We start from the raw sequence: 15,515 nt of genomic DNA, 5'->3' as shown, positions 1-15,515 counted from the left end.
GCTACAGGGCCCCAGCGATTCACAGAATGGAACTGGGGTGGGGCCTGCAGCCACGGGGTCTCCCAGGGAGAGGCCACAATGCCTTCTACCTTAAACCTGCGAAGTGATGCTGGTCTCGGGTACCGTGGCATGTTTCCGCTTGTCATGTGCCTGGAATGTGCTCACCTGTTCTGAGACCTTTGCCTCTGTGGTAGCCACCATGGTGCTTGGCTACACATGCAAAGTCGGGTGGATGAGTCTTTGACCAGGAAGACATAGCACCTCCCCAGGAAGCCTTAAGCCCCTGACCCCGGAAGACACCTGACACCTTGGGTTTGCACACAGCTCCTGGGATGCTGGAGTTTTCAGGTCCACTTTTAGCCGAGGGTCTGACTTGTTCTTCCAGTCCTTTGGGAGAACACTCATTCTGGACCCCAAAGCCCCAGCAGCAAGCAATCCCTCCTCTTCTCTGCAGATTCACCCCAACAGAGCCTGCCTGCCCTCCCACCCTCCCAGAAAGAAGCTGACCCTGCTGGCCATTAGCCCACTCCCTCATGCCATTTCGTTTTTCTTTCTCTCTCTTTTTTTTTTTTTTTGTTTTGTTTTGTTTTAAAGGCAGAGTCTTGCTCTGTTGCCCTGGCTGGAGTGCAGTGGCGCTAACACAGCTCATTGCAGCCTCAACCTCCTGGGCTTAAGTAATCCTCCTACCTCAGCCTCCTGAGTAGGTGGGACTATGGGCACACACCACCACACCGGGCTAGTTTTTGTATTATTTTTGTTGGAGACAGAGTCTCACTATGTTGCCCAGGCTGATCTTGAACTCCTAGAATCAAGCATTCCTTCCACCTTAGCCTCCAAAGTGCCAGTGCTGGGATTACAGGTGTGAGCCACCGCGCTCGGCCTGTTTCCTTTCTTGACTGTTTTGAGGGCAGGACAGGTTGATGACATTCCTGGTGATGTTCGAGGCTTCTGGTCCAGCCCCCACATGTTAAGAGGAGGGACTTGAGCCCTGGAGAGGGGAAGGAACTTGCCCAAGGTGACCAGAGGAAGGATCAACTGTCATGTGTTCCTTATGCCCCTGTCACTTGGAAGGTGTCCAAAGCCCTGTGTACATTACACTTCTATGTTCTGGGCACCAGGAATAGGGAGGCAGATGCCGCAGGGCCCGAGGTCAGTGGCTTCCCAGCACATTGGGTCGCCTCCGGCCGCACTAATGGTGCTTTCTGTGCCTTTGGCTACATTTCCAACAACTCTGGGGTCCAGGTTCTCTGTGCTTGGTCCTTAGCTTTGCTGACCTACCACGGAGCCATCCCTGGGGCTGCAGGAAGAGCTGACTGGGAGGCGATGATTTGTTTTCGGAATATGGCCATCCATTACTAGTTTTATGACTTTAAGTCCTTTTGTCTCTCTGAGGCTCATTTCCTTGTTTGTAAAACAGGAACGATAATGCCTCTCTCATGATTGTCATGAGGAGGGTGCCTGGCATACAGCTGGGTCTCAGTAAATAATGGTGGTTTTTATTGCTGTCACTGTGAGCCTGGCCATGAGGGCCCTGATCTTCACCTCAGCCCTGTCTGCAGCTCAGCCTTCAGCAGGGGAGAGGATTACCTGCCTCCAGCAACCCAGACTGTTTCTGGAATGGCCAGACACAGGACAGTGGCTGTGGGTGAGGGCCACCAGGGGCTGTGGCATTCCAAGCAGCAAGGGCCACAGTTGGGCCCTGCAGAGTGGGGCACCTGCACTGCTGGGCTGGCTGTGAGGCCACTCCTTTTGGCAGCTTGCCCAGGCGGCTTAAGCTCCTATGGAGGAGTGGGAGGTAGAACCCCTCACTTCAGACCCCCAGGCCCTGAGCCAGTGTTGCCTGGCTAGCCACTATCCCTGCCCCATGCCCTCAGAGCTGGCCCCTCCCTGGAGAGTGTGGGCCACCTGCCTCCCAGCCCTGTCTCACCACCATAATCTCTGCCCATCCCAGGTGGCCCTGATGAAGCAGATGCGTGAGGAGCAACAGCGGCGGCGGCTAGTGGAGACCAAGAGGAACCGGGAGATCGCACAGCTCAAGAAGGAGCAGCGGCGACAGGAGGTGAGGGGTGGCCCTTGAGCCTCCCAGGAGCCTTTGGCCCTAGCACTCCCAGCCTCCTGGTGCACCTGGCTGCCCCTCCTGACCAAGCGGGCCTCAGTCTCCACTGTCCTAAGTGGTAATGGTCATGCTTGGAGGACAGTACAGCCTGTCAGAGCAAGATGAGACCCTGTGGCTTCTGGTCCAGCCCCCACATGTTAAGAGGAGGGACTTGAGCCCTGGAGAGGGGAAGGAACTTGCCCAAGGTGACCAGCAAGCTGGAAATGTGCAGCTTCAGGCCCTGCAGAGAAGCCCCAGTAGGGCTGAGCCCTCCGCTCCAGGATTCCTCCTCACTGGAGGGAAGAAGAGGCTAAGGAAATTGCCCTTGTGGAGAAAGCAGTTTTCACTGCAACCTCTGGGGAGGGGAGCTCAACCCTGGGTCCCACTTTATCAAGAGTTTGGCTGCATGAGAATCACCCTGAAGCCCAGGCTTTCAACTACAGGGCTAGCCAGCCTGTACACAGACAGAGAGGGCTAAGGTGCCTGAGTGTGGAGCCCAGCCCTCTTCTGTCTCCCACAGTTTCAGATCCGAGCTCTGGAGTCCCAGAAGCGGCAGCAGGAGATGGTCCTGAGGAGGAAGACCCAGGAGGTGAGCTCACTCGAGGGGCTGGCGAGGCCCTGGCCCTGCTGCACATGTGTGCGTGCATGTGTGCATTGCTTGCCTTCTCTTTTGGGCCTCCAACTTCCTGGCGGTGGAATAAAGGCGGTATTTCCCAGTTCTGCCAGAGCCGGCAGGGAGGGGAAGCAAGCCCTGCCTGTGGCCCTGGCTCTCCCTCCTTCCATTCAGCAAGCATATTTGGTGTCCAAATTGTGTCCAACCTATTAGAAGGGCCTTTCTCAACAAGAGCTCAGGCTGCAGGGCAGACTGCAGGCCAGTTCCCAAATGCCTGAGCTGTGCGTTAAAAAAAGAAGGTGGCAGCCTCTTTTGTGTGCATGTCACATCAAACAGAGACCCCTTGGCCCTTTTGCAGCCCAAGCCCAGGCCAGCACAGAGCAGCCTCTGTGTTCCTGCTGCCCGGCACCCCAACCTGGGCCCTTCTGTGTGGCTCCAGGCCACCCTGCTCACCGGCTCCCTCTTTTCTCCCTGCTGCCCCAGGTTTCTGCACTGAGGCGCCTGGCCAAGCCCATGTCTGAGCGGGTGGCAGGGCGTGCAGGACTAAAGCCACCCATGCTGGACTCTGGGGCTGAGGTGTCGGCCAGCACTACCTCATCTGAGGCTGAATCAGGGGCCCGCTCTGTCTCCAGCATCGTGCGCCAGTGGAACCGCAAAATCAACCACTTCTTGGGGGACCATCCTGCGCCCACTGTCAATGGCACCCGTCCTGCCCGGTAAGGTGGACTGGCAGTCCCCTGGCCTGTGCAGGCAGAGGGGGTGGGAATATGGGGCAGGGCCAGGGTGAGGAAGAGGGAAGCTCTGGGGAGTGCTCCGGGTCCCCGTGGCTGTCAGCTCCAGATGGGGGCTCAGTGGAGCTGCAGAGGTTAAAAGGAGTCCCATCCAATCCCCTTTGCCTATGTCTCCCAGAAAGAAGTTCCAGAAGAAGGGGGCCAGCCAGAGCTTCAGTAAGGCGGCAAGGCTCAAGTGGCAGTCCCTGGAGCGACGGATCATTGACATCGTCATGCAGAGAATGACCATTGTCAACCTGGAGGCTGACATGGAGCGGCTCATCAAGGTGAGCCCTGCCTCCCCCTTCTCTTCCATTCCACCCCTCTGCCTGTCCTCTGACACCTCCAACTTCTCTGGCTCTTCAGACCTTTCCCTGCCCCACTTCCCTCTGCTCCTTTTGCCTGCTCTGGAATCCAGAGGTGCTGGGGGGACCTCACAGGCCAGCCTGTGGTGGAAGCTATGGGCAGGGCTTGGCAGCTACCTGAGGCCTCTCCTTCATCACAATCACCACCCTCCCCTCTGACCCCAGAAAAGGGAGGAGCTGTTCCTCCTGCAGGAGGCACTGCGGAGGAAGCGGGAGCGGCTGCAGGCTGAGAGCCCCGAGGAAGAGAAGGGGCTGCAGGAGCTGGCTGAGGAGATCGAGGTGCTGGCAGCCAACATTGACTACATCAATGACGGCATCACCGACTGCCAGGCCACCATCGTGCAGCTGGAGGAGACCAAGGTATCCGCAGGGCTGGGCCTGCTGGGGCGGAGGCGGGAGAGATGGGTGGCAGGGGTAGCCCCAGGTGACGGGGCTCTCTGCCTCCCGGTCCTAGGAGGAGCTGGACTCCACAGACACATCCGTGGTCATCAGCTCCTGCTCCCTGGCTGAAGCCCGCCTCCTGCTAGACAACTTCCTCAAGGCATCCATTGACAAGGTAAGCTGGGAGCGTACATGGGCAGGGGGCTCTATGGGCACAGATGCCTCTGTGATATACCCTAGTGTGAAGCCCAGGGGCCTGGCGCCTCCTCACCTGCGTCACTCACAGGCTAGGACAAGCCGCCTAACCTCTGCACCTCCCATGCCACAGCTGTAAAGCTGAGAGGACGACCATACCAAGCTTGTAGCTTGTTGCATGGCTTTAACGAGATGCTGTGTGTAAGGGACGTGGCCTGGCACCTGGCACACAACAGGGCCTCTGTTAAAGTTGACTCTGGGTGTCTGGCCCAAGCCTATCCAAAGCAGTGCTAGGCTTGAGTCTGCTGGAGGTGGAGGGAGAAGTGTGTGTATGTGGGGGTAGGGGAACTACAGACAGACCACATTCCACCCAGGAGGGTTTACACCAGAACATCAGGTGTCCCTCGACATTTCTTGGGCTCCTCTTCTCTCTCCTTGACAGAGAGCTAAGCAGAGGATGTGCCTCCTTCCCTCCTGGGGCCTGTGGTCTCTGGGGACAGACCCTACATGGTGTGCATCTGTGTAACTCTGGAAGGAGGCAGGAGACTCTGCCGCCTGACCCCTCCTCTGGGCCCCACTGAGCTCCTCTCAGCTCCGCTTTGTGTCTGGGGACTTTATGAGTTTGCTAGGGCTGCCATAACCAAGTACCAGTCTGGGAGCCTCAAACAAGAGAGGGCAGGAAGTCCAAGGTCAAGGTGTTGGCAGGGCTGGTTTCTTCTGGGGCCTCTCTCCTTGGCTGTAGATGAATATGAGTTTTGGGGGGACATAACCTAGCCCATAATAGGGTATGTCCTAAGGTGACCTTCACTTAATGTGTGTATGTGGGAGCTAAGGGGGCTGGCGGTGCTCTCAGGTCTGTGCCAGGTACAAGGGTGATGTTGGGAGCTGGAAAGGAGCACTCCAAGGTGTCTTGAGGGGTGCAGGTTGTGTGATATGGGTGACTCCCAACCCCCAGGAGGGGTAACTCCAGGCTTTGTTCCCTGCCCCCAGGGGCTGCAAGTGGCACAAAAGGAAGCCCAGATCCGGCTGTTGGAGGGCCGACTGAGGCAGACGGATATGGCAGGCTCCTCCCAGAACCATCTGCTCCTGGACGCCCTGCGTGAGAAGGCTGAAGCTCACCCCGAGCTGCAGGCCCTCATCTACAATGTGCAGCAGGGTACGGGTAGGGGCGGTTGGAAGCTGCCAGCTCCTTGGCATTCCAGTGCTCTTGGGCTCAGACCCCCACAAGGCCCTCACTTCCCCAGAACCACCCCTAACCCCCACCAGGAGCCCTGGTCTGATTCCAGTGGGTGAGATATAGGAGGGAGACCATCATCCCTCCCCCGACACTTGGACAGGGCTTCTCAACCCCTTTCCCTCCCTCCCGCCCTCCCACAGAGAATGGCTACGCCAGCACAGATGAGGAGATCTCAGAGTTCTCTGAGGGCAGGTGAGTTTGCAAGCTGGGAGTGAGAGGCTGGCTCACAGCATGTACCTGGGGCTGGTGGGAGGAGTTGCCATAGGTCCCAGGGCTGAGCCTGAATTTGGGGGCTCCTCAGGATCCTGAACTCTCTCTGCTTCTTCCTCAGCTTCTCCCAGTCATTCACCATGAAAGGCTCCACCAGCCATGACGATTTCAAGTTCAAGGTGAGCCCCGCCGGAAGTCAGGCAGTGGGTGCAGCAGGGCCAGCCTCCACACAGCCTGTTCACCGCTTACTGTGGCTCTGCTCCACCCTCAGCCACAACACAATGTTGTCCCCAGCTGGGAGGGAGGTGCCAAGAAAATTTAGTCTGGAATTGGGGGTTGTCCAGATATGTAACCTGTTGCAGCCCATTCCTTCTGAGGTGGGTGGAAGGTGGGAGAAGTGGCTGGAGCCACCGCTAGCCTCTGTTGCCACCCTGCTAGCAACAGCACCATAACCAGGGGCCCTGCTTTCAAAAATATCCCCTTTCCCCCACCCATGATTCTGCCTCACACTCTAAGTCAAAACCTACCTCTAAATGTCTGGTTATCTTACGTGCACACAGTCAATTCAACCATATGGGAGTCAAAAATAAGGAAGTTTACCTAATAATGAGGGATCAGTTTCATTAGACTGAAGCAAGATGCAGGGTTTATTAAGGAGACAAGGAGGGAAAAAGCTTCAGACTGGGAATAGCAAATTATGCATAGTTTTGAGGTAAACTGATTAGCTGGTGACCAGCAAAGAAGTCAGGCTGGGCATTCTGTGTTTACATAGTCCAACTAAGGGCCGTGAAACCATTTCAGTTGCTCTGGATTCTCCAGAAACCATAAGAGTTTAGCTGTGGAGCACAGGTGATGTCTGTCTGGGTCCTTCCATCAGGTCCTCTACCTTAGGCCAAGACGGCATCATTTCTCTTGTTAGAATTTCCGGGCGGGCTGGGTGTGGTGGCTCATGCCTGTAATCCCAGCACTTTGGGAGTCTGAGGCAAGAGGATTTTGTGAGCCCAGGAGTTCAAGACCAGCCTGGACAACATGGCGAGACCCTATCTCTACAGAAAAAAAATTTTTAATTATCCGGCTATGGTGGCACGTGCCTGTAGTCTCAGCTGCTCGAGGAGGCTGAGGTGAGGGGATCGCATGAGCCTAGGAAGTTGAGGCTGCAGTGAGCCATGTTTGCACCACTGTCTCAAAAAAAAAAAAATAGAATTTCCCCTGGCTCCCCTTTATGTGCCATGCAATTTGGGCAAGTTGATCCACCCTGTTCTTCTTTTCCCAGAGCGAGCCCAAACTGTCTGCCCAAATGAAAGCTGTGTCGGCTGAGTGCCTGGGCCCCCCACTGGATATCTCCACCAAGAACATCACCAAGTCCCTGGCCTCCCTCGTTGAGATCAAAGAGGACGGAGTGGGCTTCTCTGTCCGAGACCCCTATTACCGGGACAGGGTCTCGCGCACCGTCAGTCTGCCTACCCGGGGCAGCACTTTGTAAGGATGGGAGCAGGAATGTGGGTTGGAGTGGAGGTGGAGTTGGGTCTGGGCCTCACTGGACTCTTCTGTTGTAGCCCTAGGCAATCTCGAGCCACAGAGACGTCCCCGCTGACGAGAAGGAAGTCCTACGACCGAGGGCAGCCCATTAGGTGAGATCATGTTCTAGAATCTGCTCCAGAGTCACCACCAGTCTAGTTCTTGGTTACATGAGTGGCTATGATGTTCTGCTCTGTTGATCATCTTGTACACAGTGTAACCTGGGCCAGCTTGACTGAGCCATTCAGGTTCACCCAGTGGTCCCTTCCCCACCCTGTCAGGTGTGGACTGAAGAAATGGGCCAGGCGTGATGGCTCACACCTGTAATCCCAGCACTTTGGGAGGCTGAGATGGCCAGATCACTTGAGCCCAGGAGTTTGAGACCAGCCTGGCCAATATGGTGAAACATCATCTCTACTAAAAATATAAAAATTAGCCAGGCATAGTGGCACATGCCTGTATTCCCAGCTACTCGGGAGGCTGAGGCATTAGAATGGTTCGAACCTGGGAGGCAGAGATTGCAGTGAGCTGAGATCGTGCCACTACGCTGCAGCCTGGGTAACAGAGAGAGACTCTGTCTCAAAAAAAAAAAAGAAAAAAAAAAGGAAATGTAATTTCTGTAACGCACCTTAAACTGCATAGCCGAGCCAGATGCTGGAAACTGTTTGCTGATGTGCACCCAACACAAGTGGCTTTGTAGTGGCTTGGATTAGTCATTGCACTGATGTGCTTCAGCCCCTTTTCATGACCATAGGTTCTGGGGAGCTTTCAGGTCTTTTTAAGGCCTTATGGTGTGAGAGAAGATTAGAAATTTAAAGGAAAGGCCGGGCGCCAGTAATCCTAGCACTTTGGGAGGCTGAGGCAGGTGGATTGTCTGAGCTCAGGAGTTCAAGACCAGCCTGGGCAATACAGTGAAACCCAGTCTCTACTGAAATACAAAAAAATTGGCTGGGCGTGGTGGTGTGCACCTGTAATCCCAGTTACTTGGGAGGCTGAGGCAGGAGAATTGCATGAACCTGGGAGGTGGAGATTGCAGTGGGCCGAGATCACGCCATTGCAGTCCAGCCTGGGTGACAGTGTGAGACTCACTGTCTCAGAAAGAAAAGAAAAGGAAAAAAAAAAAAAGGGAAGGGAAGGGAAAGGAAGGGAGGGGAGGGGAGGGGAGGGGAGGGGGAAGGGGAGGGGAGTGGGGGAGGGAAAAGGAAGGAAGGAAGGAAAAGAAAGAAGAAAGAAATTCAAAGGAAAAAAGAGATCAATGCAGAATGGCAGGGAAGTCCCCAGCTGGTCACCCACATGTGGGCCAGGCCCACAGAGCTTCTGTAGATCGAAGGATGACTTTCAGGGTTTTCTGGTCCATGCACTTAATTAAGAGGTTTGGTGGCACACAGCTAAATAGTGGGAAAGCAGGGGCTCAAGATGGCCTCTTGCCACCTGCCTTGCTGGGAGGCAGGAGGATTTTTTTCTTTTTAGAGATAGGGTCTTACTTCATCACCCAGGCTGGAGTATAGTGGCACAATCAGGGTTCACTGCAATCTCCACCTCCCAGGCTCAAGCGATCCTCCCACCTTAGACTCTCAAGTAGCTGGGACTACAGGCATGCACCACCATGCCCGCCTAATTTTTTTACTTTTTGTAGAGTTGAGGCCTCACCACGTTGCCCAGGCTGGTCTCAAACTCCTAAGTTCAAGCAATCCTCCCACCTCGGCCTTTCAATTTACTGAGATTACAGATGTGAGCCACTGCACCTGGCCACAAATACATTTTAATAAATAGGTGAATTCCCAAATATGGAATCTGTGAATGATGAGGATTGATGTTTAAAGACAGCATCCAGGAGTTTCATTGGGTGTTGAGCTCTGAGAATACTGCACAGCAGACCCTGTCCTGCGGGCCTCACAAGGCAGAAGGTGGAAGCCCAGCACCAAGTAGGGGCCTGTGGGCAGGGGTGGTCACTAACAGGCTGCCCTCTGTCCCGACTCACCAGGTCCACAGATGTGGGATTCACACCCCCATCATCCCCTCCCACTCGGCCCCGCAATGACCGCAATGTCTTCTCTCGTCTCACCAGTAATCAGAGCCAGGGGTCAGCGCTGGACAAGTAAGCAGGGCTGGAGGGCAAGTGGGGGAGGGCACTGAGGTGGCAATGGGGAGCCTGTGGATGGTCCTTGCTGGAGGAGGGCTCAGGTGGCCAAGCCAACCCCAGCCTGAAGTTCCAGCCCCTCCAAGAGCTGAGGCCCTGATGCCCTCTCCTGGCATTTCTCTCCTTCCTGTACTAACCATGGGCCCTTCTCCTCCCCTGAGAATGCCAGGACCTCAGGAGAGGGCAAGAAGGAGGCCACAGGGATTGGGGCCGGGCAGTCAGGTGGGCTGGTCGCATGGGGCCGGTGCCTGAGGGCTCTCCAGAGCTGCCCTTTAATCCACCTCTGCTGCTGCTTTGAGTCTGCTCTGAAGCCCCTTCCTTCAGCTTCAACCACTCCACTCTCTGTGCATTCTCCCAGCAGAAAGAGACCAGACCCCCAAATTGCCTTCCTCAGGCAGGTTCAGGTCCACCTATATTCACAGCTCCTGATGCAAGACTCTACTGCCTAATGGTGTGGTTTATGTTAACAGCCTCCCCTGCATTCAGGCTTTCTCCCTGTGCTTTACAACCTGCTTTCATATATGTGATTTCATTAGGCTATGAAACAACCACGAGAATTGTCTTCCCTATTTCACATAAGAGGAAATGAGGCTCAAAGAGGGAGCCAGGGATGTTCACCTAGAAAGTGGCAGAATTGCACCCAGAGCCTGGGACTTCCAGCCCCTGCCTGCTGTGCCTCAGGAAAGGGGAGGACCCTATCCTCCATGTGCTGCTCTGGGCTCCCCAGCATTGCTGGGCCCACCCTGGTCCTGTTTTGCTCTCTGCAGCCCTCAAGAGGGCTCCTCTCTTAGCTCCCTGAAGGCTTCCCTGCCCCAGGGGTGACAGTGCTGTGGCCTTCAGGGGAGTCTCACACTAGAAAATACTTGTCCTTGTACCTAGTGCCTGATGTCCACCCTCCCCACCTCTCCACAGAAATGCCCCTTCCTGGGTCAAAATACTACTTGATGAATGCTGAGCCCAGGAGTCAGAGCCCTGCAGACCTGGCACCCCAGACACCTCCTTCCCCAAACCTATCTTGGCTCAGGCTGCTGTGGGGGGAGCCATGGATCACTCCTAGCCCATCTCCATGTTGTTACAATCAACAGGTCCCCTTTTTGGAAGGATTGGGGCAGGGCTGTGCCCATCCCAGCCTGATGGTCTTCTGGAGGCCTTGGTCTTGTCCAATGGTCCAGGTCTTGGAGCCTGTGCATGGTGCACAGCCAACTTCTAGGCACTGTCCCAGTGGGCCCCCTAGGGATAGTGGGCTTTGTAAATAAGTGAGCCCCTGAGGAATTGCTGGAAGAAGCCAGCTCCCAGGGAGGGGTAGGATCAGGCATGGCTTCCTTCAGCCTTGGGCAGGTATGAGCATTGCTGGGGTGGGGCAGGTGCCCCCAGCTTGTGCGATGGGGCAGCCAGAGAGCTTGGAACCAGCAAACAGCCCTGGAAACGTCTCCCCATGTGTGGGGCTGGTGCTCCCACATCTCCCCGTGGCCCCCTCCTCGCTCCTCCCTTGCCAGCCGAGAGACCCTGGCAGCCCACTCCTGGGGGAGAGTCCCAGCTCCCAGACCAGCCCACCCACCTCCTCCCCTGCTCTCCCGAGGCCCTCATTCCTCTGCCTGTCTCTGCTCCGCTGGAAGAGAATAACCTGCCCTCTGACCACCCCACACACTGCTGCCGCCTCTGCGTCCCTCTGTGTGTGTCTCCTCTCACCCCCTAATCCAGCTAATTTTCTGCCCTCCCCAGGTCTGATGACAGCGACTCCTCTTTGTCGGAGGTCCTGAGGTACACACAGAATGTCTCTCGTGTTTGGTTCCCCACTCTCACTCTCGGCACCCTCTCTTCTCTGTCTCTTGCTGCATCCCTCCCGCCTGACACCCGTGTCCTCAGCATGCGGCCCCTCCACTCCCCTTCCTGCTGCCCCCCTCTCCAGACCTGTTCCTGCCCCCATGGTTCCTCTCTCTCAGGGTGGCCACAAGGCCTTGGACTGCGCCAGCTAGAGCTGGGGGCTTGGGGAGGGTGCACAGTTGCTTGTCGCAGGCCCTGTTCTCTTCTCCCTCCTCACCTGGGCAGGGAGGGGCGCAGCATGGAGGCCTAGGGGATGCTGGGCTGGGGCTGAGTTCTCCACGACTGGAAGGCAGGGGAAATGCTGAAGGCTGCTCCTTTTGGGGGTGCCGGTGGTGTGCTCTGGGTCCTTTGATTCCCTCAGCTTGTGCTGGGGGTGAGCTTTTCAGACGTTGGCTCTGGGAGGGGCACCATGGGGGGAGGGGCACCATGGGGGCAGCGCCCCTTGCCCACACCTGTTAGCACACAGATGTGTGGGTACCTCCCCTTCCCGCAGCCTGTGGGATGGCTGGAGGCTGGTTCTCCCAGCCAGCCGAGCATGACACCGCACAACGAGGAGCAAGACTCAGGACCTGGGGTCCCGAGCCCCTGACAAGCCAAGGGCCCCTCGTGGGCTGAGAGCTTCCTCGGCTCTCCTGGTGGGCTGTCTCAGCTCCTCGAGCCTCCAGCCCTGAGTGTCGACAACTGGTTTACTGTGAATCATGAGGCTTTGCCACCACAAGATGTTAGCCAGCTGGCCAGGCTGTCATCGGGGGGAGCATGATCCCTTTGACATAGTTCTGTGGCCATGCAGTGAAGCCAAACCATTGTCAGAAGCAGGGTGCTGGAGCAGCTTGGGGAGCTATTTGTGCATGTGTGGCACCTGGCTGGCAGCTGGACGTATCCGACCACCATCCTCAAGGGTGGGCCTGGCAGAGTCTGGGGGGAGCTGTGCCAGAAGCGCCACAGGCAAAACCTTGATCATTTCAGTAGACCCTTGGCCAGAGTCACTGTCAGGAGCAGCTTTCTCTTGGGAAAAGAAACAAAGCTAGGATATATTTTCAGACATGACTCAGCCAGGGTCTCATCCCAAAAGACCCTCACTGAGAAAAAAATCATCTTCAGAACCTCAGGAAGCTGGATGTGGCAAAACCCTCACGCTCACTTGGGCCAGCCTCCTTCTCGCTCCCCTAGCATCATGGGAGCGAGGAGGTGTTGTTCCAGGTCCATACAGCCCCATTCCAGAGAGCCCCAAACCTCCTACCCAAAGCCAAGCCAGCCCCAAAGGGATTTAGCCCTTCGTAAATGCCAGTCACAAGTTTGACCCCGCTGGTCCAAAAGGAGTGTGTATGTGTACACATGGCTCTCTGCTTGGAAGATGCTAGCCTCAGAGGCAGTTACCAGCAGAAGGGTTTACTGGGATCAGGGTGCATGGGGGTGATGGCCTGAGCAACCCTCCCTCTCAGCACCCCTCCCTCACACTCGGTTAACTGAAGCAGCATGCAGCTTCTGGTGGAAGCTACAGGGCCCAGTTCCAGCCCCTGGGCCTCTGCCCTGCCCAGCTGGACCCGGGCGCATTCACATCTCAGGATCTGGGTCAGACATTGTCAGATAGGAACTCTCTGTGGACAGAGCCCACACCTCCTGCACCTTCTAGCTGTGCCTAACACCGGGTTTGCTTCCCCAGAAGTGCTCAGGATGGCAACTGATGATTGCTGATTAAGACAGGCTATCTCCACTCTGTGTAGCCCGTTCCCGGCTCTCAGACCTTGGTGGAATTTGGCTGGAGTCCTTAAAGTCTCTGTTATTTGGTCCTCATCCCCTCCCTGCCCTGTCCCCATCCCACACACGTGCCTTGATCAGCCTGGCCACAGTCTCCCTGGCTGACGAGCATGCCTTCTCTCCCTCTCTCCCGGGAAGGGGCATCATCTCCCCGGTTGGAGGAGCCAAGGGTGCACGGACGGCCCCACTGCAGTGTGTCTCCATGGCCGAAGGCCACACCAAGCCCATCCTCTGCCTGGATGCCACAGATGAGTTGCTATTCACAGGGTCCAAAGGTATGTGGAACGCCAACTAGCCAGGTAGGGTTGGGGTCTCCTACTCACCCCTGCTTCCTTTGTCAGAGTGGTCTGTGAAGGAGAAAAGAACATAGAGCCCCCAGGAGTTGAGGATATGGGGTCTATTTGCTTACTACCCTTGTTTCTTACCTTGGCTCAAGGCCCCCATCCCATGCATCCTTGGCCAAGCCTTCCCTCATACCTGACCTGGTGGCTCCATCCAGCACTTCCTTCCAGACCTTCCAGGGAAACTTCAGGAAGCTTCTTGGGTGCCCCACCTGTACTTGCACTGCCCAACATCACCCCAGCTCATACATCTAGGCACTCCCTATGATCTCAGCAGCAGCACTTTACAAAGTCACGCTCACCTGATTACAGCAACAAAGTCAAACATTTTACCAGCAGATAGGCTGGGCACAGTGGCTCATACCTGTAATTGCAGCACTTTGGAAGCATGAGGCAAGAGAATTGCTTAAGCCCAGGAGTTTGAGACTACCTGCGTGGGCAAATAGTGAGATCCTGTCTCTACAAAAAATAAAAAATTAGTCACAATGACATGTGCCTGTAGCCCCAGCTACTCAGGAGGCTGAGGTGGGAGGATCGTTTGAGTCCGGGAGGTCAAGGCTGCAGTGAGCTGTGTTTGTGCAATTACACTCCAGCCTGGGCAACAGAGCAAGACCCTATCTCAATAAGCAAATACAAAATTCTTTATTTACTCTTTCATTCATTCATTTTACCGACAGAAAGAACTAGTCTGTAATAGACACGCATACTATAACACAAGCATAAATATAGCTCTCCACGGCAGTAGGGGGATAGCTGTCAATCTAGGTGTGATTGATTGATTCCAAGTTTTCCCATAACATTTGCTTGCACTGGTTCATTTGCTTTGTCAGCAATTAGTGTTTGGAGGAACAGGCACCATAAAAGCTTAAGAATTTTATTTTAGCCCTGGACACCTTAGCAGTATGGCTCACAAAACTCTGGTGTTAGTGGAAAGTTTGCTTGAGGAACCCTGGTCTGAAGTTCTGAGGGAATTCTCTCTTCCCTGAGTTTTTTACTAGCACACACATGCCAGTGAGCACATGTGTATGTGTTTTTTTCCTCTTCAGACCTGGAGCTCCGTCCTCTGGAGCCCTGTGGATCCCTTTCCCCTATCCTGGGCAGCCCCTGCAGAGGTGGAGCTGCGCCCCCTAGTGGCTGACATCCCTCCCCTCCCTGTGGCTTCCTCCCATCTCTCACAGACCGAAGCTGCAAGATGTGGAACTTGGTTACGGGACAGGAGATCGCAGCTCTAAAGGGCCACCCCAACAACGTGGTCTCCATCAAGTACTGCAGCCACTCGGGGCTTGTGTTCTCCGTGTCCACCTCCTACATCAAGGTGTGGGACATCCGGGACTCAGCCAAGTGCATTCGGACTCTCACGTGAGTAACCCCCGCCTGCCTCACAGTGGTCGGCTGCAGCAGGCTGTGTTGGGTACAGATGCTCCCAGCCCAAGTGACCCACTCAGCACAGCACAGCCCGGCTACATGGGCACAGAGACCATTACCAGCCTATGAACTTGGCTTGACCCTGGGGTACAAGGTGAGATCTCTTGGTTTGGGAGACAGTGTCTGGGGCAGCACCACTAGAGGAATTTTTGGCCTGCCTGGCCTCCACCCACAGCCCAGTCCCCCAAGCCCTGCCCCTTGAGGTGTGTTAGATATCATCCTATGAGTCTGAAAGAGGAGCTAGGAAACAGGGTGAGCCTCCAAAGCCATGCTGGCCACTGCCTGTGTAGGCGACCACCCAGTCATGGCCCTGAGCCCTGCCCCGACAGTCTCAGACACACAGGCATAGGGCAGGGGAGGCAGAACTGAGACCAAGAGCCTTGCAAAATAAAGTGGTTTTTTTTAGCAGAAGTCATGCTACATCCTTACATTAACACTGTAAGCTACAGTCTATTAATTTGATCCTTAAGAAGTAAACAGGCTGGGCACAGTGGCTCATGCCTATAATCCTAGGTATTTTGGAGGCTGAAGCAGGAGGATCACTTGAGACCAGGAGTTCAAGACCAGCCTGGGCAACACAGGGAGACCCTGTCTCTACAAAAAAAAAATTTTTAGTTAGCTGAGCATGGTGGTGCATGCCTGT

General features: G+C 55.5%; 1 protein-coding gene across 7 annotated transcripts in view, besides 1 other annotated feature; it reads left to right on the top strand.

Annotated features, from left to right (window-relative positions):
- Positions 1 to 15,515, top strand: part of KIF21B (kinesin family member 21B) — a 54,325-nt gene that overhangs the window by 29,374 nt on the left and 9,436 nt on the right. For 5 of the 7 annotated variants that reach the window (NM_001252102.2, NM_001252100.2, XM_017000731.2 and 2 more), the window contains 15 exons: positions 1,952 to 2,059; positions 2,616 to 2,684; positions 3,192 to 3,424; positions 3,618 to 3,765; positions 4,009 to 4,203; positions 4,298 to 4,399; positions 5,410 to 5,575; positions 5,797 to 5,848; positions 5,988 to 6,045; positions 7,140 to 7,345; positions 7,423 to 7,497; positions 9,369 to 9,482; positions 11,247 to 11,285; positions 13,245 to 13,381; positions 14,626 to 14,806. In NM_001252102.2, coding sequence (NP_001239031.1) covers positions 1,952 to 2,059; positions 2,616 to 2,684; positions 3,192 to 3,424; positions 3,618 to 3,765; positions 4,009 to 4,203; positions 4,298 to 4,399; positions 5,410 to 5,575; positions 5,797 to 5,848; positions 5,988 to 6,045; positions 7,140 to 7,345; positions 7,423 to 7,497; positions 9,369 to 9,482; positions 11,247 to 11,285; positions 13,245 to 13,381; positions 14,626 to 14,806 — 1,883 coding nt within the window. The remainder of the gene's footprint in view (positions 1 to 1,951; positions 2,060 to 2,615; positions 2,685 to 3,191; positions 3,425 to 3,617; positions 3,766 to 4,008; positions 4,204 to 4,297; positions 4,400 to 5,409; positions 5,576 to 5,796; positions 5,849 to 5,987; positions 6,046 to 7,139; positions 7,346 to 7,422; positions 7,498 to 9,368; positions 9,483 to 11,246; positions 11,286 to 13,244; positions 13,382 to 14,625; positions 14,807 to 15,515) is intronic. The other 2 variants (NM_001252103.2, NM_017596.4) reach the window with 1 other exon arrangement.
- Positions 14,504 to 14,653: an enhancer, noted in NCBI's record as "active region_2305". NCBI's record gives its function as "activates an Ori minimal core promoter by ATAC-STARR-seq in GM12878 lymphoblastoid cells {active_cell/tissue: GM12878}" and the evidence as "EXISTENCE:reporter gene assay evidence [ECO:0000049][PMID:35858748]".

The sequence above is a fragment of the Homo sapiens genome, chromosome 1 (assembly GCF_000001405.40).
Source record: "Homo sapiens chromosome 1, GRCh38.p14 Primary Assembly".
Classification (NCBI taxonomy): domain Eukaryota; kingdom Metazoa; phylum Chordata; class Mammalia; order Primates; family Hominidae; genus Homo; species Homo sapiens.
The sequence above is the reverse complement of the archived record's forward strand: the minus strand, read 5'-3'. Positions and strand labels throughout refer to the sequence as shown.